Source organism: Homo sapiens, chromosome 6 (assembly GCF_000001405.40).
Source record: "Homo sapiens chromosome 6, GRCh38.p14 Primary Assembly".
In the NCBI taxonomy this organism is placed as follows: Eukaryota; Metazoa; Chordata; class Mammalia; order Primates; family Hominidae; genus Homo; species Homo sapiens.
In genome coordinates this window covers 135796136-135821371 of record NC_000006.12, presented here as the reverse complement: position 1 = coordinate 135821371, position 25236 = coordinate 135796136, and the positions used below count along the sequence as shown (strand labels likewise).

Below are 25236 nucleotides of genomic sequence, written 5' to 3'. Positions count from 1 at the left end.
TCTCAGGTGTGTGAGTCTGACTGGATCAAGTCTGATAGAGTAAGAAACACACAAGAAAATGCATCACCGTTGATAAAACTTCATGTTTGAGGAGAAGGAAGATAATAAAGAATTAACTTTGAGGAACACAAATGAGAGAATATCTGTTTTGCTTTTTTTATTACTAGAAATATTAAATCCAAGAATAGCTTTTTAGTGCAAATAAAGTAAGATGAATTATTAGCAGTATTTAAAACATCAAATATGATAAAGATAATGAGCATAATTATTTAATCACTTAACTTTTTAGAGCCTTTCAATACCTATAGCCTTTCCAGCACTGAATCAAACATGTAAAGAGTTAACTGCCCTGAGGAGCACATAAAAGGAATTTAAATGACCTAGTAAAATGAACAAAAAGTAAAGCATGACTTGCTCAATACATCTTAATCTAGCACACTATATCATTCCTTAACCTTAAAATTGTTTTTTAAATTAACATCCCAAATATATATCCTGTTATATGTTCTGTGAAGAAAGCTGCATATATATAATATTTTTTCAGTAGCGTCCTCTTGGATTAATTCACCAAAACATACCATCTAGTTGAACAAAATTCCTTAGGAAGTGTAACCAAGCGTACTTGGTTGAAATGAAGAGGAAATTTATGAAACTATCTTAGAATGAAAAAAAAATAGACATCAGAAAACTGTTGCCTTTTTAAAGCATCATTTCCCCCCCGTAATCCAAAATTCCTTTTCTGCTTTCTGCTCCACAATCCCATGGGCCACTGAGCGGCCGGCAGGAGCCATAATCACGGGCAGCACAAGCCAGACACAGGGTCAGGACAAATGTGAGGCCGGCACCAGCCAATGGAGGGGCTGGACCCTCTCCTGGGAGGAGCTGCCCTCCGCAGTGAAGATCAGCAGAGACTTGGCATGAAGGCCAGATCCTTGTGAGAGAAGTGGATGTCAAGGAAAAAGCTCAAAGGGACATGGAAATAGAAACCTTTGCTGCCATTGCTTTTTATTTAAATAGTAAATACTCAAAAAATTGAAAACAAAACAAACAAAAAACAAAATATCCCCCCCAAAAAAGACAAACCACCACTAACAGACATACATGGTGGAAAGTCCAGGATGACCTGTATCTTAGGTCAAATTATTCTTTTAAAAGGGTTTTATGTAAATAAAGTAATAATGAAAATGCTTAGCTTGATAGTACTAGACACACATGGTTTATGATAGAACAGACAGAGTGAAGTTGTGTAGGAGTTAAATACAACAAAACTTGACCACCACTGAGTTGAAATAACCAAGTAGAAGGGTTGGGCATGGTTTGGGGGTACAGAGAATAGTACTCCAGGGTCCACTCACCCCCAAACCTAGTTGCAAAACCTACTATTAGTGGCAAGTGACAGGGGCAGGGATGGTCAGGAGAAATGTGAGGACTTTTCCCTCAACAGCATATTGGCTACTAATGTTATGTAATTTCCTTTTACTGACCACAGAATTGCTGGTCATTAGAGCTTTTAGGCGCTACGCATTGTTGTTATCATGTGTTACCATACACAATAGAATTTACCACAAATGTGGCAATGGAACTTTAAAAAGCAAAATCCTAGGCAAATACTATGATTTGTGGAGCAATAGTTCAACAGGAGGAAGATGTGTGACTTTCTATGGGAATCTGCAGGAAGTGTGGGATCATCATGATGATTAAGGGTATTTAAAATGTACCTTTGAGTAGAGAAATTCAAAATAAAGAAAAATAAATTAAAATACCGTGGCACGGCACTCTAGCCTGAGGGACAGAGCAAGACTCCATCTCAGAAACTACAACAAAAAATACCATATACAAACATTTTAAATCATTTCACGTAAAAGTACTTATGTACCAATACTTTTGTTTTCTCCTTGCAACTCTGGGTACATGTGTGAATTATGTGAAAGTTTCATTTCATATTCACTGTATCTTCTTTCTCCCTTCACTCTAAATATCCAGGTTATATGAACTGCATCCTCCTCTTCTCAACACATGGATTAAATAAAACTTCCCTTCCAAAAAGGGATCTGAAAGTTAAACCACACTAGGGTGTGATTGACAACAATCTTGATAGTTCACTTTTCAAAATATTGGCAAGTTAAGTTTCAGAAGGCTTAAATCAAAAGATTGATTCAAAAATGCTATGAAGCAAAGAATTCTTGGATAATTTCTCCTGAATCTCTGGATACAGTCCTTGTTGGCTTCTCCTCGCTGCCTCAGGTATCACCATGACAGCATAATTTCCCATTTTTCCATATTAAAATACCAATATGCTTGGGAGAGAACATTTAGTTTGCCTTATTAGCTAATAAAACACCATTTGAATATATATGATCCTTTCCTGTCTGAAAATTAATCAAAAATGGATCTGTTAGGAAACAAGATGGTGACATAAGCTTAAGGGGGAGAGAAGTTCATTTCTTGAGATTATTATACACCAAACACATGCTCTATGTGCGCAGTGCAATGTTATTTAATCTTCTTAAGGGGCATGATGTAAGCAGTTCTTCCATTTTATAAATGAGAACATTGAGGTTCAGGGAGGTAAATTTAATTGTTGAAGCTTACAAGTGACTGAGACTCAACCAAAAGATACATGGATGCAGAGGTCTTGCTATTTTTAGGGAAATCTGAAGGCTGCAAACATAAGTGCCCCACTTGGACTCTGGCAAAGCTGGCCCCGCCACCTGCTCTGAAGACTGGACAAGGAGCAGATCTCAATTTCTGGCTCCCAGCAAGTATTTTCTCCACTAGACCACACAGAAGGCTCCAATGCAACAGTCAGGACCAGGGTTTGGTTCTTTTGCCCAGCAGCCTAAGCTAATCTCCATGAGTCAAGCCAGACCTTTCATTCTGGTTTGGGACAACCAGGGCTAAGAGTCAACCTGCATGGTGCCTCTTGTGGAAATAGTAGGGGAAAGAAAGTATCCGGAATTTGGTTCTCTGTTCCAACATCCTTTTTAAAGTGCCAATTAATCCTTCAAGGGAGTTGTCTTTACATGTGGTGTTGAGGCATGGGGGTGTGATGCACTTGTGTGAGGCACAGACTCACATAGACAGTAAGTCCCCACCAGCCATGAGCTCACAGTCCTGTGTTGGGGGTTTTCTGAACCACCTCAGCATGGCACTTTGGCATGCTGAGTGCTTTAAACCGAAGGACATTGGAAGGGTCTCAGAATCAAAGTCTGTCTCTGACTTTCTCCTGCCTTTCTTTTTCCTGTTCCCCAAGGCAGGCCATAGAAACTAGAATTCCTCTTTCCCAAGGTGGGTCATAGAAACTAGAAATATTGCTCTAAACTTTCTGTGTAGGAGCTGGCCACAAGGAAGCCATCTGACCTACCTTGCTTGAAAGCAGGTCATAAGACCCTCATTCCAGAGGGGTCCTGCTGCATACCCAGGAGAAAGAAATACCACACAAAGAGGCCAAGAAGAATCTGAACAGTCAGGCCTTGCTGGGTTTCCCCTGCAACCTATCACCATTAGATCACAACCTTTGGTCCAATCACATTTCTACATGGCTGTCCATTCTTCATTGATCCTAAGCAAAAAAATAGACAGTTTTCCCTGGGTCTTTAGGTCTTCATTTCTGAAGCCTCCCATGTCATATAAAACTTTGATTAAAGAAATGTGTTATGCTTTTCTCATGTTAACCTGTTTTTTGTTATAGGAGTGTTGGCTGTGACCCTTATGATGGGATGAAAAGGTACCACGCTTTTTCCATCCCCAAACCTGGAAAGAACTGTAGTTGGTGAGACCAGAAAATCTCACAAAAAGCAGGGAGAGGGAGGATTAAGGCTGAAACATTTTAAATAAGCCATTGTGCATCAATTAAAATAAGTGAAAGTCTAGAAAATATCCATTTTTCATTTGTGGGTGTGACAAATCTAGTCCAAAATGTATTCCCATGAATCAATTTCTTCAATCCATCTATTATTACCAAACAATTTAATCATGTTCAGTTTTTATGAAGTACAAATGAAAGGCAAACAAGAGATTGTCCTAAACAAGACAGTTCTCATAATTGTCTTTGAAGCCAACACTTTATCCCAGTTAAGATGACATTGGGGTCCCAGATGACTGTTACTTAAGGGATGATTTTCTCTCTAACTCTGCATTCTGAGGAATTCTACATAAATTTCCATTACTTTAAAGAATCTGTACTTCTATTATCCTTGTGACTCAAAGGAAACTGACAGACCAGGATGATACCATTGCCATTTTTTTCCCCAGTGGGATCTTATATTGCTCCTATCAATTTATGTAAGCCTGCAATATTTTACATATACTAACGATTCTGTGTTACATTTGCGTAGATGTTCTTTCACAATTTGTTACCTTTAACACTGGTAATTTTAATGTAATCAATGTTTTAATGTTTTAGTAATATTTCCAATGATTTCTGAGTTAAAATCCTACCCAAAGATAAGCTAAATATTTATCTATATATAGATATAGATAAATTTATAAATTATTTTCTGTAATGTGTGTGTGTGTGTGTGTGTGTGTGTATGTGTATGTTTAGCATTTCACTCTTAAATAGAATTGGAATTTATTTTTTGGTTAAAGTGATGATATAAAGTAATTTTTTTAAACAAATAATTAACAATTGTTTAAACACTGTTTACTGAATGATTAACTCACCTTTCACATTGTGATGCCAATTTTTATCATATCACTGTATATGATAAGATTTGTTTCTGGGTTATGAGGACTAAGCTCTGATTTTTTTATGTTACCCAAATTCCTACCTAAGGGGTCTAGGGAGTCATGCCCTACAAACCATAAGTTCTCATCAGATGGATTTCATTTGACCCTATATTTTGTGACTTTTCAATCTGATTCTGGCATAACATTATAAGATGAGGAAAAAATATTTAACCACAAAATATATTTCCTTGCCATATCTTGAAATTGCCCTGCAAAGTCCCTTGTGGGAAAAAACCACATTCTGTAGAGAATCCCTTTTCCCCTTTGTTTTCCTTCCTTTCTTTCCAGATCCAGAAGACAATCAGCTAAGAGCCAGGCATCCTTTTAAGTCTGGTAAGAAACAATTTACAACCTGTTCTTTCTGAAGTCTGCTATCTGAGAGCTTCCTCTGCACAATAAAACTTGGTCTCTGCAATCCTTTATTTTTAACGTGAACATTCATTTCTATCCATCCCAAGTCTTAGACAAGCTCAACCAATTGTCAACCAGAAAATGTTTAAATTTACCTGTAGCCTGAAAGCCTCCCACTTTGAGTTGTCCCACCTTTCTGGACCAAACCAATGTATTTCTTAAATGTATTTGATTGGTGTCACATGCCTTCCTAAAATATATAAAACCAAGCTGTACCCCAGCCACCTTGGATGCATGTTCTCAGGACCTCCTGAGGGCTGTGTCATGGGCCATCGTCACTCATATTTGGCTCAGAATAAATCTCTTCAAATATTGTACGGAGTTTAACTCTTTTCATCAACAGTTACATATTTTTCCCACTGGTTTTTCTGAATCTTCTTATATATTAATTCAAAATATGAAGTATTATTAAGTATAAAAAGCCATGTTAACCTTTATTACTTGTTTCCTGGGTTTTATGGTTTTTTTCTCCATAAAAATAAAAATTTGCTTTGCGTATTACTTGATTTTTTCATGCAACACCTAAAAACAATATATATTCAATACAATATTAAGAATATATAACATTTGTTTAGAGTTTGTATATGCCGGGCACCATTCAAAGTGTAAACCAAAAATAAAATTCTGAGCCCCCCAACCTACTAACTGAATGGACCCCATCCTCTCAGTCAAAGGGATTTCGGAGAAATCTAAAAAACTAGTTCTGACCATGATGGGAAGGAGGTTTGAATGTGCCTTGTTATACTCTCCTTCCTTTGGAATTCAGGCACCATCGACTCACATTAACATTAAAACAGAGATCTTAAGACTGAGGAAACAGACTCTTTGTAGCAATAAGATACCAATTTCCAACCTGACTCTAGTATAGCATCACGTGACAGATGGCAGTCCCTGAAAGAAATCAAAGTATTTTACCCCAAAATATATTTCTTTGACATATTTTGAAACGGCCCTGCAAAGCTATCTCTTGTGGGAAGAATTTACACTTTGTAGAGAATCCCCTTCCCTTTCCAGGTCTTTTCCTGATCCTTGAGTGATTTAATTAAGAGTTTGGCACATTTTAAGATCTGATAAGATACATTTACCATGATCACTGTCTTTGAAGCTTGCTACCTGGAGGCTTCATCTATATAACAAGAACCTTGACTTCCATAGCCCCCCTTGTCTTAACCCCAAGCATTTCTTTCTGCTGACTTTAACTCTTTAGATTAGGAGTGTCCAATCATTTGGCTTCCCTGGGCCACACTGGAAGAATTGTCTTGGGCCACACATAAAATACACTAACACCAACCATAGCTGATGAGCTTAAAAAAAAAAAATTACAAAAAAATTTCATAATGTTTTAAGTGTATAAATTTGTATTGGGCCGCATTAAAAGCTGTCCTGGGCTGCATGTGGCCTGCAGGCTGCAGGTTGGACAAGCTTGCTTTAGATAACCTAACTCTTTCAACAAATTGCCAATCAGGAAATCTTTGAATTTACCTATGACCTGGAAGTCACACTCCCCGGCCCCCCTCGATGTCCTGCCTTTCCAGGCCGAACCAATGTGAATCTTATATGTATTATGTTTTTGCCTGTAATTTCTGTCTCCCTAAAGTGTATACAATCAAGCTGTAACCCAACCACCTTGGGCACATATTCTCAGGAATTCCTGAGGCTGTGTCACAGATCATGGTCCTCACATTTGGCTCAGAATAAATATCTTCAAATATTTTATAGAGTTTGGCTTTTTTGGTCAACGAAAATGTCTTATATCAACTTGGCTGGATCATGGTGCCCATATATGTAATCACATTATTCTGGTTGTTACTTTGAGGGTGTTTTTGAGATTAACATTTAAATTGGTGGACTGTGAGCAAAATAAATTGCCCTCCATAATTATTCAATCAGTTGAAGGCCTTAACAGAACAAAAGATTAACCTTCCCTGGAGCAAGAGATAATTCTGCCAGCAAATGACCTTTGGACTTGAGCTGCAACACTGGCTTTTCCCTGGGTCTCCAGGCGCCAGTCCGCCCTGCAGATTTTGGACTGGCCAGCCTCCGTAACGTGTGCCAATTCCTTAACATAAATCTCTGTGTGTGTGTGTGTGTGTTTGTGTGTGTGTATCTCTGTCACACACACACATATATAGAACATATCCAATATTTTATATATATGTTTTTTTCCCTCTAGACAACCATGACATACATAAGGTTAAGTAATTTGCTCATCACAACATCCCCAAGGGGAAGGTATACAATTATCATTTTTATTTTACAGGTGAGGACACTGAAGTCCAGAAAACTTAAATAGCTTGTCCAAGGTCATTCAACCAGTACATGACAGGATGAGGATTCAAACTCATAGCCCACAATTTGAACAATACAAATATACTTTTTAAGATCAATGAAACAGACTTTTAAAAATCCTAGGATAATAAAATTGTAATTCCTCATTTTCTTTAACACTTTTTTCATGGAGATCAAAATATTTTAGAGCAAACATTGTCAAACAAGCCCTTGACAAGCAAGCACTAAGAAGTCATTTGCCCTTCTCACTCTCATTTCCTTATGAGTAGAGTTTTTCCATAGCTATATGAAATATTGAGAGCAGCAGGAGGCAGCCAAATGCCTAAGCATGTAGGGGCGGGTCCCCAGCGAAATCCCACGTCCAAGCCAAAGACAGTTTAAAGCCTGAAAGCCAAGCTACAAGTTAACTCCTCGAACCAGATTGAGAACCCGCTTTCCTGTTTGGTGTGCTTTCCTCTGATTGATCTCCACCCTTCACCCATTTTACACATACCTACCCTTTCCTAATTGATTTTCTACAATGTCGTGCCCACCTTTGAGTGGCATCTTTGCTTTGACCTTTTTTGCATACTCACAAACCAGTCAGCACACACTCCCTATTCTGAGCCCTTAAAAAGCCCTGGGCTCGGTTATATTGAGAACTCTCCTGCCTTTGGATAGGGGGACCATCCCCGTCCCCTTCCTGAAAAAGCTGTTTCATCACTCAATAAAATTTCCTGCCTTGCTCACTCTAAGAGTGCCCAGGTGCCTACTTCTTCCTGGTCATGAGACAAGAACCCAGACCTAGCTGAGCTAAGGAGCAAGAAATCCGGCATCAATATGACGACATCATTGCACTGATGTTAACAGGTAGTATGTTTGTTTTTGTTAATTTTAAATGAATTAGTAAATAAATTTTTAAAAACTCTCAGGTTTAACTTTTAATACAATAAATACATATTGATATTATTTACATGAACAAAAGCCCTTTGGGGTCCTAAGTAATGTATGAATTTTAAAGGGATACTGAGACCAAGAAGTTTGAGAATTGTTTTAGAGGCATTACAAAACTTAGGACATTTTTGTGAAATAAATACTGTTATTAATTTAGCAGATGCATTTTCACAGTTTTTATAGAATTCTTTAAATCTTCTCATACTCAAATCTGGATAAGTGAGGGAAAAAAACTTAAGCTTAAAACTAATCTTCAGTAATATCCTGGATGCTATTATATTTTTCAGCTTTTAATGTTTTTACTTGGCCATCATCAGAATAATTTTGGGCCCTGAGTCTATAGTGCAGTCATATTTTTCTTTCCCGATTTTATCCGACACCAACTGGATAAACGTTATATTCTTAAAATGGTGAATAAAAGACTAACAAAACATTTTGCTGACTTTCTCAAATGTTAAATATCAGGCATTTGTGAGAGGGCCCACTAAAAATGTATGTGGTGGAGAAAGATCTGCCTGCAGGCGCCTGGGCACACAGTGACTCTGCACTTTCTGGTCCAGTTTCCTGTGGCTGCCTAGGGCAGTCCACATCCCCTGGGCATTCTCCCAAGGGTGGGGCAGCAGCCATCACAACCTAATACCACTTTCGTAAGTAGTTTGAAGGGGCAGCAGCAAAGCTCAGGCAGAATGAATTGAGCCTGACCGTCCTCAGATCATTATCCTGAAGATGTGGCCTGGCTTAGCTCCAGTGCAGACAATAGGAGGGTGTTCAGAAAGCTCATCTTCCCCTCCATATTTGGCAAATGTGTGTTCTCTCAGTCCGCTAGGGAATATGCAGCAGCAAGCCACTATCTCAGTGTTATCAGATGAGTCAATGAGATGGAAAAGAGGAATCCCGGACTGATTCCTCTCTCTCACCACTGTTTCTGAAGAGTCTTGTTCTAACAAAATCAATAAGACCAACATTCCTTATGTCCCTATGGAACACTGCAGTTTACAAAATACACTCACTTTCATGATCCCTCAAGGACACTGTGAAGTAGCCCAGGTAGGTACTGTCATCCTTATTTTAAAGATCAGAAAACTGAGAATCCAAAGTGTCGAGCAATTGACTCGAGGTCACAGGGAGCATGACCCTCACCAGGCCTGGAGGCCAGCTTGTGTTTTCAGTCCCACATCAGGCCTCTGACTCTGCAGAGGGCACACACAGAACGCTTCCTCATTATACATGATTATTATTTAACCTCAGGGATGTTTTTGCACAATGCTATTTTAAGGAAGGTAGAGACAAAAAGAAGAAAGTGAAGGCTGAAAGGAAGAGAAAACATATTAGGGGAAATGCTCATTTTTTAATAGAATTCATGAGAACATTGTCAACTCCCAGAGATTAAAAAAAAGAATACTGGATATGCACCAAAGTCATCACTGGAAATAGTATGAAAACACCTGTTGACACCAGTTTTCTTTATAAGTGGCAGTGGTCAAAATGGATCAGGGTGCTGCGGAGATCCCAAGTTTGGGAGGGGGGTCCTTCAGCATTCATCAGAGTGCTCTCTGCAAGTCTGTGAACGTGCAGAGGCAGGAGCCTGGGGTCCAGAGCTCCTGCTGAACCCAGAATGGCCTTTCAGTAGGATGTGCTAGAGTCTCTTTAGCCATTAATTACTTTTACAGCTGCTGCTCTAAAAACAGAAGGGATAAAAATTGCACTGTTTGTTCCATTGAAAGTGCAAAAAGGGATAGCCAAAAGAAATCCATGGACTCTGCCTTGCAAATGAACCAAATAAACTTTCCCTTTAATGTGTTTCTGCTTATCTGAAAATCACTTATAAGAGAGGAGTAACAAAATAACAAGGTGGCAACATTTTTTTAAAACTTCAAAACCATGAATGAGGTTATAAGTAAAGTACTGATGGCCCAGTGAGTGTGAAGTTAATAAGCCTGTCACCCCTGCATGCTGTCTAGTCTTGGGTATCTGGGATATTCTTTTTACCCAGGCATGTGACCGTGCTTCTGTCTTGGTGGAAGAGAGCTTATAACAGAAATTAAAATAACTTTATTAACAAAATTAAAATATATTCATCTTCACTTTATTTTGTGGGTTGAGACTTGTATTTGCTACATGCATATGGACTTGCGCATCTACTCTGAACACCACTACGGTTCTGCACAGTGATCTTTGTTAGTTATTTCTACCTTAGTTCCCATTCTCTATCACTTAGTTTCTGTTTCTTCACTTACCAGCACTAACTTTTTACAGCCGCAGTTTCAAGGCAAATCTCTCCTTCTTCCCTCTGAGGGGCATTCATTTGTATAACCATTGCCGCTTCCAATTACTCCACTGAGTAAGTGCCACTTAAGATTCTCATCAGCCTGTTGTTACCATTATTCCAGTGCAGTAGCAACCATGAATGCCAGATTTGAAAAACATATTTGAAACTAGGAAAAACATAGTGGAAAAAATTAAATGTGATACCTACTCTTTCAGTAATTCCCTCGTGTGTGTTTTTCAAATGAAGAGTTGATTAATGATAATATGAAAAACACTCCTGAAGCCAGCGTATCAATTACTGTCTTTAAATTAATGAGCCCTAGGTACTTTTCTTTCTGATTGACATAGCCCCTTTTAAAAATTTCCGTCTCTTTAATTGAGCATAAAACTATAATTGTTTTTTACAGTCTCTTTATGGGGTGTGCCATAATACACTGACATTCTGTACAGGAGTTTATACCTTGAAACAATTATATGTTTATATCCTGGATAAAAAATTAAGTTATTGAATATGATTCAAGATTTTCTAAATCATACCAAATTCTTCTTCACAGGAAATATGTCATATCCATGTTTTAGTGTAGTGTGTGGTAACAGTCTTTGGATCACGTGTCACATAAATAGTACCACGGTAGCATTTGTATTTGACAAGTAAGTTATAGCTATAAATAAGCCATTATATGGAGGAGAATATCAAACTTTTCTTTACTTCTTTACCCAATTAGCAGATTTTAAGAAAGGAATTTAGAATTCATTATCATACCTTTATCAGTAGTGATGAAGGGTGTGGGCTCTGGAGGAGAGAATCAGGGGAGTAAATATTAGCCTTGCGACTTTTGGCTTGTAGAGAGGAAAAACTTTTCCTATGCCCTCTTATCTTCTGTAGTTGGGGCCTGTGAATTAAATTAATAGAAGACAGATTAACAGAAGAAAAGCATGCAAAATTTACTGGATGTTAATCTTTGTACATGTACATGGGCTTTGAAGAAACAGAAGGAAACAGCCCAAAGAAGTGACTAGACTTGGCCTTATACACCATTTTAACAAAGAGTGATAAATTATGGAGAAGTGACTACACAAAAGAAAGGGGCTTGGCTTTCTAGGAGTGGCAAATTGTGGGAAGGTAAATATATGGGGGAAATTAACTGCTAGATAAAGGTTATGTAGTAAGGTTTGTCTATACAGACTTATTTAGGTGCTGTCTCCATTTCCAGTGGTACAGTTTGTTATCCCTTTCCTGATATGGAAGGTGGGGAAATACTTTCACAAGAAAGCTTTATGCCCTATGTTTAGGCAGATAGGGGAGGGAAAAGAGCTCTTCTTGTGTCTGCTTTTTCTCAATTGCCTTCAACTTAAAATAATTATTATGCCAAAGTGGCATATTTTGGCGTGACATATTCTAATCCCCTTCAGATGTTATGACTGTCAGCAAGTTCTTATACTCCTCCAAGCCTCAGCCTCCTCCTGGGCAAATGAAGACAATAATGGTATCTATTTCTTAGGGTTGTTATGGGCATTCAATAGATAATACATATGAGCAGCTCAGCACAGAAGTAGGTACATAATAAGTGTTCAATAAAGGAGAGCTATCATTCTTATTTTTATCTCCAGAATCCGTTTTTTGCTTTCACCTATAGAGATATAGACAGTACATGCATACCAACTCTGCCCATTAATTAGCATATATATATATATGTATTTAAGAAGTGGAGGAATGAGAAAAAACAATATCAGGATCATTTAGTCTTAAGCGTAAAGTGTTAAGGAGGATTTAAACAGCAATGTTTAAGCTGAAGATAAAAAAGGGAGGAGGTTTAAATTAAGGAATAAAAATATTTAGGTTCAGATTAAATAATTTATCAGATACAACTCCTTAGTTATGGGTGTGTGTATGTAATTAGATCTCCTCATCATCTACTCTTAAAACCAGACTTATCGCTTTTACTCTCCACTCCAATCACCCACCAGGTCATGCTGATGTTAACTGGCTCATGCCCATCACTTCTTTTTAGTTCCCAATGTTACCTCCTAGGCTGAGTTTTCATCTTGTTAAACCTAGATTAATGTAATACCTTCTAAACAGTCTCTTAATCTTTTAATATCTTCCTTATTCTATTCAATCCTGTGTTCTGCCAACCAATTACTATTCCTCAAAAACCACTTTGTTTAATCTCTCTGAATTCCGACTGCCTACATAGTAAGATTCTAATTCTTTGGTTTAGCTTTCAAGATTCTATTCAATCCAACTTTAACCTACCTTTTTTGTTCCATTCCTCTCCCCTCCCCATCCACTCTAGTTAGAGGGATGTGGACTAGAATGGGAATAAGGACGCAGACTCCAGAGCAGACTGCCTGCATGAACTCCAGGTCCCCACCAGCCAGTTCTAAACTAAAAGTTCAGATATTCTGAACCATGGAACAAACATGATGTGGCCTGCTGAAGTAGAAATGTGGACTTTTGGGATGTGAGACCGAAATCACTCATAGATAAGGGTCCTTCCTAAATCTACAGAGTGGGCAACAAACCTAATTCACTTGTTAAAATAATCATTGAGATGGAAATTGCAAACGTTCTGACTCTGGAGAGACAGAGGGTGACTGGCAGGCAAAGGAGAAATCTCAGGCTTCAGTAATGAGAATTTTTCATGAGTCGCCTAATCAAGCTCATGAGACCTGGAGAGTCTATGAGGAAAGGGTTCAGTGATAGAGAAAGCCGGAGATGATGAGGCTGGGAGAGTAAGCTTCTCTTACCATTGTTCTCTATTCTCCCTACTCCCATATTCTTCCAGTGGGACAAAGTGCCCCAAAGTATAAGTCAGTGTGTCCCAAGGGGTCTGGAGTTTAGGTACCTGAACATGGAAGAGGGCCTTGCTAAACTGGTGAGTATCAGAGTTGGGTGGGTGCTAGTGTCACAGGTGTGACAAGTCATCCAGGTTGGATTTGGGCATCAGTCAGAGGACACGGAGGAAAACAGAGAGTTTGGATAGGCTCCCACACCTGTGGGAGATCAGCTCCCCACTATTTCCTTGAAGCCCAAGACGTCATTAATTCCTAGCTTTTTGTGGCTCCAAAGCAATTTGCCCATGCACTGGCTTTCTGAATGGTGTTTGGACTATCACCTACGCAGAATCTTCCATTTTTCCTGGATGATATTTATCCTCATGTTTTTATGTCACCAAATGTTCTTTGGAATAATAACTGTAACATTTTTTGAGTGCCTGCTATATTCTAGAGCCTTTAAAATCTTTATATTCACCATCAGCCCTGCTTTATTAATATAGAAACTAAGCCTATGTAGGTTAAGTGGTACAGCCAGGACCCTAACCCAAGTCCGTCTGTGTCCAGAGCACAAATTATTGTAGCTTTCTTCATAAAAATCTGTAAATTTCTCATCTCTCTCTCTTTCTCTTTTAACCCACAGGTTTGACCTTTCTCTCATCCCCAGCAAAGTTCTGAATGCGGGTTCTGACTCTGAGCTGAAGGCATACTTCATGAAGTTTCCTGCTGCCCTTTCACTACACAGCTGGACTTGGAGGCAAACTTGGAGATAAAAATATAGTTCCCGTGCTATCCCTTATAAAGATTTAAGAGAAAGTATAGAAAGAAAGGCAAAGCTAATTACTCAATATGCATCCGTTAGTTTTAATGCAATAAAAGAGTCAGTCCCATAATATAGCAAAGGTTACACTTAAAACTTAAATGCAAGATATTAGAAAGTACTTCATAAGAAATTAATGCTGTACTATTAGGGCCTTTAAACCAAGCAGTCAATGCATCAACAAATCTTTATAGGGAAACTATTATGTGGCAGACAAGGTTAGGTGGCTGCAATATGTCTGCCTTTGTTGATGAGTTTCATCTTTCCTATTGAGCGGCCTATAAACATGGCAGCATTCCTATGTCCAGTTTACCTATTATAAAATCTTAAATGAATTATGTTAAAAATCATGCTAGCAGTACCAATGAATTTTTTAGAGACAATGCTTTATTGGATTCATTTCTTTTTTTCCAACTATTTTGTCTGGAAAGATGGGATTTTTAAAATGTATAATGACATTTTGGCTAATAATTATAGTTTAGAACTTCATTCTTTCCGTCAAGAACTGTTATTTGAGTGCTGGATCAAATGGCTTTTCTACAGATCTCGTTCCTTCAGATCTACGTAACTAAAGCTCTGTTTAAAAAACAAACAAAAATTCACATGCTAGTGCTGTTACAGAAGTTTTATCAGACTGGCAGTCCAAGTGGTTAAAATTCCTTGTAACGGGTATCAGTTTGAAAAGATTCTTGACTGGGTGTAGTGACTTATGGCTGTAATTCCAGTGCTTTTGAAGGCCAAGGCAGGAGGCTTGCTTGAGGCCAGGAGTTTAAGACCAGCCTGGGCAACATAAGTAGACCCTGTACTTGCAAAAAAAAAAAAAAAATTAATAAATAAATTAACCAGGAGTGCTAATGTGTGCCTGTAATCCTAGCTACTTGGGAGACTGAGGCAGGAAGATTGCTTGAGCCCAGGAGTTTGAGGCTGCAGTGAGCTGTGATTGCACCACTACACTGCAGCCTAGGTGACAGAGTGAGACCCTGTCTCTAATACATAAATAAATAAAAACAAAGATTCTTAATACCCTTTACCTTTTTCATTAGGAAATATTTTATTAGGAAATTTATTAGGAAATATTTCATTAGTGAAGGAAAGTCTCACTTTTTAAACTTGACTTTGACCAACACTCTGTTCTCATGACTTATGTCCCTTTAATACCTAAATCATTTGCCTAGCTAATTGGGCCTGCACCAGTGTGTACTGTTAGATCCCATGGAACGTTGACCTGACAGGTGTTCTATTTGTCAGGCAGGGCTTTCCTTGGCTTCCCTTTTATCATTTCTTCTTCCTGCTTCTTCAAGAGACTTATGACTCTCTGTCATAAGCTCTCAGTTATAGAACAGAGCTATACATAAAACGTGCATATACACAAATGGGTAAGGAGTATACCTGCACTAAATAATTCTTTCTCTCTGAAACTCAATAACAACTGGCCTCTTGTCTGAAAAACATCAGGACTCTTGCACTAAAGACCAGGCAGCCATCCAGCTGTGCCCAGTTGCTATTTTTTGGTATCCATTCTAAGAAGTTATCATTTTCATGAGAATGAAAATGTTGTACCACAGAAATTTTAACTTTGGAAAGCAACTCTTTGGAGTTCTAATTTCTCGTAGGGCAATATTTTTCAGGCTTGTTGGGTTTCTGTGTTTGAACATCTGAGTTCTCACTTTTAGAGGCTTGTGCTTCCTAGCACTCTATCCTATTACACCTATGCCAGGACTTGGTAGCTAAAGTATAAGCTGAAATAATTATGTCGTTAATTCATGCTAAAACCTGTCTTACTCCATTTAGCAAGTTTTATTTTGATATATCCATACAATCACTTCAAATCACTACTTCATTTTGGCAATGCTAAATTGTTTATACAACGCTACTGTTCATGCTCATCCTGCAGAACAGCTAGTGAAGTATGTCTGTAACCATATGGCTTGTTGTTATCATATCATTATACCTCATTTAATAACAGTTCCTAATATATTGGGTATTGCATAGAAGACACTCAAATTTTTTTTTTGTAAGTAAGTACTGTTAACAAGGCAAGCTTCTGTCAGTAGGTTACGCTAATATTCAATTTGTATCATATTTAGATAACATCTTGAATGTGTAATTATTTCTATTTGACTCAATGGCCTCGGTTGCTGATGAGAACCCAAGCTTTGAGAATCAGAGATTGGTTCTTTCTTACTAAGTAAAACAATGCATTATTTATTTTAGAGTTAATCCAAACTGACATTTTTATGACTGCTATGGACAAAATGTTTGTATCTCCCCAAAATTCATATGTTGAAGCCCTAATCCCCTGTGTGGTTGTTTGGAGATGAGACCTCTAAGGAAGAAATTAAGGTTAAGCGAGGTCATAATGGTGACAGGCTCTCATCAAACAGGATTAGTGTCCTTATAAAAAGGGACATCAGAGACCACTGTACTGGCACATTCTCCATGTCCAGCCCCTAAACCAATCCTGCTCACAACTTGATCTTGGACTTCCAGACTCTGAAAGTCCAGCAAAGACAAGTGAGCATTTATAGACAAGAAGCAAGTTGGGGCAGTGGATGGAAAATTACTAAGAGGAAACATGAGGAGTAAGAAGGGATTCTGGTTAAATCAGCTTAACAGGATTCTTGCTGAAGTCAGGGCAGAGTAATCAGATATCATCTGGGAGGTGGTGGGAGATAAGGAATTTGGTCAAATATTGACAATGATCAGATATGAAGGGTGAGAGATTCTGGTTAAACAAATTTGACAGAATTTTTGCTAAAATTGGGCAATGCAAAAACAGACATGGAAACCCACAGTTCAGGGCCTCGGATTGTCTCTCACAGGGTTGCAAAAATAATCTGCTATGTTTTCTTCAAGAGGTTTTAGAATTTTATCTTTTACATTCAGGACTATGATCTTTCTTGAATTAATTTTTATGAATGGTGCAGAGTTTGAGGCGCAACTTTTTTCTTATAAGTAGTCATTTTTTACAGAACCTTTTGTCAAAAAGACTTTTCTTCCCCCTATTAACTTATGTTGATGACTCATTTAAAAAATGATCAAGTGACTGGGTAAATGTGGTTCAGTTTCTGGACTCACTAACGTTTTTGTTAAACTATTAATCTATCTTTACATCATATCATGCCATCTTGATTTTAATAAGTTTTGAAATCAAGTGATATAAGTACTACAAAGTATTTTTCTATTTCAAGATAATTTTGGCTATTCTGAGTAGTCGGTCTTTTCTTTTCTTTCTTTTTTTGAGATAGAGTCTCACTCTGTTACCCAGGCTGGAGCGCAGTGGCATGATCTTGGCTCACTGCAATCTCCACCTCCCAGGTTCAAGCGATTCTCTTGCCTCAGCCTCCCAAGTAGCTGGGATTACAGGCACGGGCTACCATGCCCGGCTAATATTTTTTTGTACTTTTAGTAGAGTTGGGGTTTTGCCATGTTGGCCAGGCTTGTCTTGAACTCCTGACCTCAGGTGATCCACCTGCCTCAGCCTCCCAAAGTGCTGGGAATACTGGCATGAGCCACTGTGCCCAGCCTTGGTCTTTTCATATACATGTTAAAAACATCTTGTCAATTTCTACCAAAATAAAAATACACCTAAGATTTTGTTTGGGAATACTTTGACTCTACAGATCAATTTAGAAAAAAAAAATGCATCTTAAAAATATTGAGTCTTCAAATCCATGAAAATGGTATATATTTCTATTTATTTAAATATTCTTTAATTTCTTCCAGCAATGTTTTTTATTCTCAGCATACAGATCTTAGACATATTTTATTTAAGTTTTCCAAGTATTTTGTGTCCATTGATACTATTTTAAATTGTATTGGATTTTTTATTTAGTTTTCCCATTCTTTGCTAGTGTATAGAAATTCAATGGTTATTTTAATGTTAACCTATGTCTGTGGCATTGTTAAAATCATGTATGAGCTCTAGTAGTATATTTTTTAGATAATTATAGTTTTTACCATACACAACCATGTTATGTTTGAATAAAGACAGTATACTTTTTTTCTTTCCAACATTTATGTTTTTAATTTATTTTATTTCCTGGTTTTATAGCACTGATTAAAACACAAAAAAATATATTTTTGCCTGTTGTAATCCTTGGGTAAAGTTTTATCTGGAGGAAGAGATATGGTCAGATATCCACTAGTTTAAACGGTGTGGCTAAGAGTTTGGCTGAATGATTCTCAATTAAAAGGAACATGACTGGTGACTTGGTGATAATGAGGTCTGGAAAGATGTATGTGAATCTTGGCATAGATCACATCAGGCATAGATCATGAAGATATTTGTGTCCGATATCAAGGCTCACCAAAGAGCCACTTCAGATGAATAAGTGGGCATAGTGGTCCATTCTATGGATATAAATGAACTTGTTTCTGCAGCTACATCTATCTTTGTCCGATTGGCTCATAAACAAAGTGGTCATGGGCAGCAGCGAAGGAAGCTATGCATGGGCTAAGCAATGTTCACTTCCACTCATCAAAGCTGATCTGACAACTGCCACTGCTGAGTGCCCAACCTGCTACCTGAGATGGATACTGAGCCCCCAGGAGGACCAGCTTGTGACTTGGTAGCAAGTAGGTTAATTATTTCTAACATAAAAGGGGGAATGCTTTGTTCTCATTGCAATGGAAACTCATTCTAGATATACATTTGCCTTTTCTGCCTACAATGCTTCTGCCAAAATCACCCTCTGTGGATTTATAAAATGCCCTATTCACCAACATGATATTCCACACAGCATTGCTTCTAACCAGGAAACTCATTCTACAGCTAACAAAATGCAGCAATGGCCTTGTGAACATGGACGTCACTTGTATTATTATGTTCTCCATCACTCTGAAGCAGCTGGCCTGATAGAATGGCCTTTTGAAGACTAAATTATGGTGCCAGATGCATGGCAACACTTTGTAGGGCTTGAGTAATGTCATCCAAAATAGAGCATATGCTCTGAATCTGTGTCCAATTTGTAGTGTTTTTCTCTCATTACACAGATCTGGGAATCAAGAAGTGGAAATGAAAGTGAATGGCTTATCTCCTTGCTTACCCCTAATCCATTACTAACAAAATTATTGCTTCTTATCTATGCAACCTTGGCTCATCTTGTCTAGAGGTCTTAGTTCTCAAGAGAGGAATGCTTCCACCAGGGGACATAGCAATGGTTCTATTACATGAAAATTTGACGCTGTCATATGACCACTTAGGGATTCTCATGGTGGTAAATCAATGGGCAGAGAAGGGGAGGTTATACTGACTGCAATGACTGATTTTGACCATCAAGAGGAAATTAAGTTTTGACTGCACTATGGTGGTAAGGAGGAATGTGTTTGTAATTCACAAAATATCTTGGGACACATCTTAATACTTCCATGCTCTGTGATAAGAGTCAAAGAAAAACTACAGCAAAACTGCAAATGGCTGGGCCATTAGCAGTTTATCTCACTTCAGGGATGAAGGCTTGTTTTACCCCATTAGGCAAAGAATTATGACCAGGCAAAGTGCTTACTGAAGACAAAGGGAATAGGAGTGGGTAGTAGAAGACTGAAGTAACAAATATTAACTGAAATCATGTCACCAGCTGCAGAAATGAACACCATAATATTTGAGAATTTCTTTCTTATTTTTATATGAAGATATTTATACATTTTTTTCTCCATCCAACTATCTTTTCCCTCCCTCCATCTCCCTAACATATAACATAGGAAGTATTAATAGTAACTGAGCTTATATTTCAGTATTTAAGTTATAATATATCTTAGGGGGAGTGTGATTCGATTAGAAGAAAAATAAACATTAACCAAAATTGAATAAAGGGATTTTGTATCATCTTTTCAGAGAGTTTTAGCATGTTTTTAGTTATATATCAGTATTTTAGTATATATCAGTATTGTGCTATGTAAAAAGATAATTTTACTATTGTCTTCATTTAGAAGTTAAGTATTGTTGAAAGGTGTATATGGGAGTGCCAAGTTGTAAGGGGGTGGACTGTGGCAACAGTTCAGTATAGCTAAACTGGAATGTTTCTCAGGAATCCTTTCACTGTATCATTCCAGTTTATGATGGGTCACAACAGAAACTTGTGTGAGATTGGGAAGGTAGAAGTGAAGTAACAGCTGGTCTTTAACACTGTGAAGGTTGGCACGGGGTGAGGTACTATTGTAGCTCATGCATACTGTTACTGATCTACTGGTTTACCTCACTGGTAATGGGGAGCAAAACCTGGGCTTAGTTTTTCTAACCAGAAATACTTTGTTAGATCTTTGAATCCCAGGCCAAGTCATGTATAGTTTCACAGGGAAGAGTGCCAGCTTTGTTTTCAGTTCACTTACATTATCAAGATTGGAGGGAGTGGGACAAATACATGTTCCTATTTGTTCTCGTGGGTTCTAGTTTTGCCTTATAGATTTCACTTTTCCCCCACAAGTTCCCTCAGGGTTCACTCTTGGATCCCCCTTAATTAATGTCTATATTTCCTTGCTGACTTCAGGCCTAATGTTAGCACAGAGTTGATAGCCTTATATAGACCACTTAAGAAGCTTCTACAATTGCCTAAGGTCTAATCCTCAAAATAAATCCCTGACTGTACATCACTTATAGTCGTTCCACTTACCTGATGGAACCCTAATTAATAGGCCCTGGTATGGTCTTCTTTGTGTTATTCCTGCTTAGGCATTGTTTAACTTCTTAAATCTGCTTGCAATTCTACCATAAGTTACTGATAATCCATTACTATTTTTCAGCTGTTTTTTCTTTCTGTGCTTCAGTTTGGGTAATTTCCAAATTGCTCTATTTTCAAGTTTACTGATAGTTTTTTCTGCAGTATTTAATCTGCTGATAAGCTTATTTGGTGAATTTTAAATTTCTGGTTATCTCTAGTATTTCTTATTATAGTTTGTTTCCCAGTTGAGATTTTCTATTTTTCGTTGTCTTCTCTCTTTAAATTCCTGAATATTTTTATAGTAGTTATTTTAAAGACAAGTCTATTAATTTCATTATCTGTGTCATTTCTGGGTCTGTTCTTGTTGAGTGACTGACTATTATTCTGGCAATGGATCATGTTTTCCTGCTTCTTTGCATGACTGGTCATTTTAAAATTATACATTAAACATTATGGATACTTCATTGTTGACTGGATTTCTATCATCTTCCTTAATAAGAGTGTTAAGTTTTTTTCCCATAGGCAGTTAACTTACCTGTAGATGAGCTTGATACTTTCAAGTCTTGTTGTTAAGGTAGGTCAAGAATAACCTTTCTTGTAGGACTAGATTAGCCCTACTTCTAAGGTATGGCCTGTGTGGAGTTTCTACTTGTCTTAGTCCATTTGTGTCGCTTGTCTTAGTTCATTTGTGTTGTTATAAATGAATACTAGGAACTAGGTATTTGTAAAGAAAAAAGGTTTATTTGGATCATAATTCTGCTGGCTGGAAGATTTAGTATCTGATGAAAGTCTCAGGCTGCTTCCATTAATGGCAGAAGGTGAAGGGGAGCTGGCATGTGCAGATATCACACGGTGAGAGAGGAAGCAAGAGAGAGAGAGAGAGGAGGGAGGTGCCAGGCTCTTTTTAATAAGCAGCTCTCACAGGGAACTAATAGAATTAGAACTCACTCACCTTGCCCCCAGGGAAGGCATTAATCTATTTAGTGGAGATCAGCCCCCACGATCCAAACACTTCCCATTAGGCCCCACCTCCAACATTGAGGATCAAATTTTAACATGAGGTTTGGAGGGGACAAAGCTCCAAACTATAGCAATATTGTACCTACAGTGTTTAGTAAGGTGCTTTCACTTTGGCAAGTCAGAATGCAAATATCTCCACACTCTGTCTAGCTCTGAGAGCTCAACTCACAGTTCTCCTGTGTTTGTTCTCTTCCTAATAGTTATACTTTGTCCTGCCTCAGAGAGTTTCAATCTGAATATAAACAGCTTGCTATTCAAAGACTCAAAGGGACCTCTATGCAGATTTTTGGAACTCCTCCTCTGCTCAGCTCGCTTCTCTCTTGATCCTGCAATACAAATTCCAGTCACCTCACTGGCCCTGAATTCTAATCTCTGTCTCCTCTGCTATGTGGCACCGCTGTGTTGGTTTGGGCACCATCTCTGAACCACAGCCTAGGAAGTGACACCAGGCAGAAAGCTGGTACAATTACAGGACTCATCTCATGTTTTTGCCCTTCTTTCAGGGATCATAGTCACGTGGTGTCTTTTGCTGAATGTCTAAAAGCAGTGATTTCACACATTTTGTCCTCTTTTACAATGGCTTGTGACAGAAGGCCTACCATGATGTGAGTTCCTTCCTCATGGCTGGAAGCAAAATTTATCTCTGTACTCTTATTTAACCCTGACAAACAAATCTACTTACATATATTATGTTAACATGAAACCAAATGGAATAAAGTTTACATCAAGCAAAATCACTTAAAATTTTCTTCTCACTGCCCCCCTATTCCTCACCTTATACTGCTGAGGATTTGATAATTATCTTAAAAGCAAAATCATTTGAATGCTTAGACATTTGCATGTAAGTTTTTATTTTGTTCCTTTTGTTCAGGTTAGCGGTTGTCAAAATTTACTGTGCATAATCATTACTATACAAAACAATGATCCCCTACTTGATGGGCTATGTAAAGGTTATTCTAGGATAGTTTTGGCTATACACTAATTCACCTAATGCCTTGAAATTCAATTTTAGCCTCAATGTAGAAAGGTGAATCTATTATATTTCTTTTGTGGATATTAGGGCTATTTTATTGCATTCTAATTTGTTTATCTGTTAAAACTTTCAAATGCAACTCAGTCTTGTAGAAAGGAGATTGTGTGACCTAGAAGGGGAAAAAACCCCACAAATAGAAAGCTAGAACCGAAATAGAGGCCTTAGGTAGAAAGGAAAACATAATCTAGGTCTTAATTTCTCTTCTAGTCTATATTGCAAAAAAGATAGGGGGTGTTAAGCAGTCTTCTACATGTGCCGGAAAAAAATGAGTAATGTTTTATTTTGGACATGCCAATCTGGATATATTTGTATCCTTAATTTTCCTATTGCTGTTTCTCAATAAATTTTTTTTGACTATTCGAATCTCCAGGCAGCTTTTTAATTTTAGACTTTACAGAAAAAGTACAAATACAGCACAAAGAATTATCCTATACTTTCATTTAGATTCCCAAATTAATATTTTATCAGATTTTCTTTGTGTGTGTGTGTGTGTGTGTGTGTGTGTGTGTGTGTGTATGAGTGATTTTTCTGACTTGTTTGAGAATAAGTTGCCGACATAAAGAGCCTTTATCCCTAAATACTTGAGTGCCAATTTTTAAAAACAAGCACATTTTGGAGTCAACTTTGAAGTTTGGGGATTTTCATATGTTGAAAAAGGATGATATTTTTATTTAGTTAAATGTAGCCATATGATAAATGCCAACTCTGGGCACAGTGATGCTTAAACAAAAGACGGAAGACTCAGAGCGATAAAGGCCACTCAACTTGTTTTCTGACTTCATGCTAGACAAGGCACTCTCGAAGTACCATATGCCTAATCTGATGCTGCAATTGTCTCACTGGGATCTTTTTTCCCTGTGTCTGAATTCCAGTGTGTGTGAGATAGCACTTCATAGCATAGTGATTTAAAGTGTGGGCTTAGAAGTTAAAATGGCTTTGGGAACTTGGACAAATAATGTGACATCTCTGTGCCATCAGTTTTTTCATCTCTAAAATGGTGAGAAGAATAGTTCCTGCCTCAAAGGATTAAATGAGCTAGTCAATATAAATCACTTAGCTAGACAGGGCAAATACTGAGAAATACGAGCTATCACTGTTCTGGACATGAATATATGAGAGTTTGTATGTGTGAGACTCCCATCTTCTCTGGCTTTTGGCAGTGCCATATCATTAGGAGATGTCCTTGCCTCTCAGCTGTATGTCAATGCCCATGTCTGGTGGTTTTGTGTCAATACGTAGATGCATTCTCCCAAATATGCTCATTTGAAAATTTAACATCCGTTAGCAGAGAAGCACTGTATTTTAAAATGCTCTGTTTGGGATACAGTAGAAGCATCTGATTGGAAATATGCCAAGTCCTCTGTCATAGGCCCATAATCAACAGCTGGCATTCTTGGCTAAATATTTGTGATGATGTTAATGTGAAGTCTTTTAGCGTTTAGTAAACAAATAAAAAGATATGAATAAATTTGACTTACAGAAGTGAATTTTTCTAAGTAATAAAAACACGAATTTCAATATTATTTTCTGAAATACACACTAATCCTTGAGTTGACACATCGTGCACTGAAGTTTATAGAGTGTAGCTTTATTTCATTCTTCTCTGCTGGAAAGAACATTTGGATATGCTTATTGTTATGCCTTTGGGAAAAATATTTGTCTTCGAATCATGTAAGATTAGAATTTTTACATCGAGTGATTGTAATCTCAGCTAGTTTTATTTGCTTATTAGTTCTGAGAGAAAGGTAATTCTATTTTTAATGGGTTTAGAAGAATTATTTTTGTATACACAATCTTTTTTACTGTTTTTAAAATAATTTTATACTTTTTATAATTCCAGAAACTCGACTGCCATGAAACATTGGGCTCTAAAGGAGAAACAACAAAAGATACAAAGAGACTGTGGTACATTTTCTCGTTTATATTAATTTAAAGGGAAATTGTTTCATATGGTTCTGAAACACTAACAATGCAATTAATTCACCAGAAACAGAAAAAAAGTCTTTGTCTTGCTACCATACTCAATCAGATTGAATAAAGAAATAGAAGGCAAATTTGCTAAAGCAAATTTCTCTTGTCTTTGTGTTGGCAGAAGTCTGTAGTCCCCTTGCTCTGCATGTTCAACAAATGTTAATAGCACCTGGGATAATTACAGAATTCACTATTTTTATTACATCCAAAACATGAGTTACATTAATGAGAATATTTGGTGGAGTTTCGTAGTCCGAATAATTAGTCAACAAAGTTCAAGTTATAAAGAATTTTTATTAATGAATAATTAAGCATTAGTTAGC

At 37.5% G+C, this 25236-nt stretch overlaps 2 long non-coding RNA genes across 2 annotated transcripts; both read left to right on the top strand.

Moving 5' to 3' along the window:
- Positions 1-11514: 11514 nt before the first annotated feature.
- Positions 11515-14227, top strand: LOC101928326 (uncharacterized). Its single transcript, XR_245604.4, has 2 exons — positions 11515-13511; positions 14054-14227. It is a non-coding gene; the product is annotated as an uncharacterized LOC101928326 (long non-coding RNA).
- Positions 14228-15200: 973 nt separating this feature from the next.
- Positions 15201-24973, top strand: LOC105378012 (uncharacterized). The gene is made up of 3 exons (XR_943034.3): positions 15201-16744; positions 18614-18808; positions 24783-24973. It is a non-coding gene; the product is annotated as an uncharacterized LOC105378012 (long non-coding RNA).
- Positions 24974-25236: the final 263 nt, after the last annotated feature.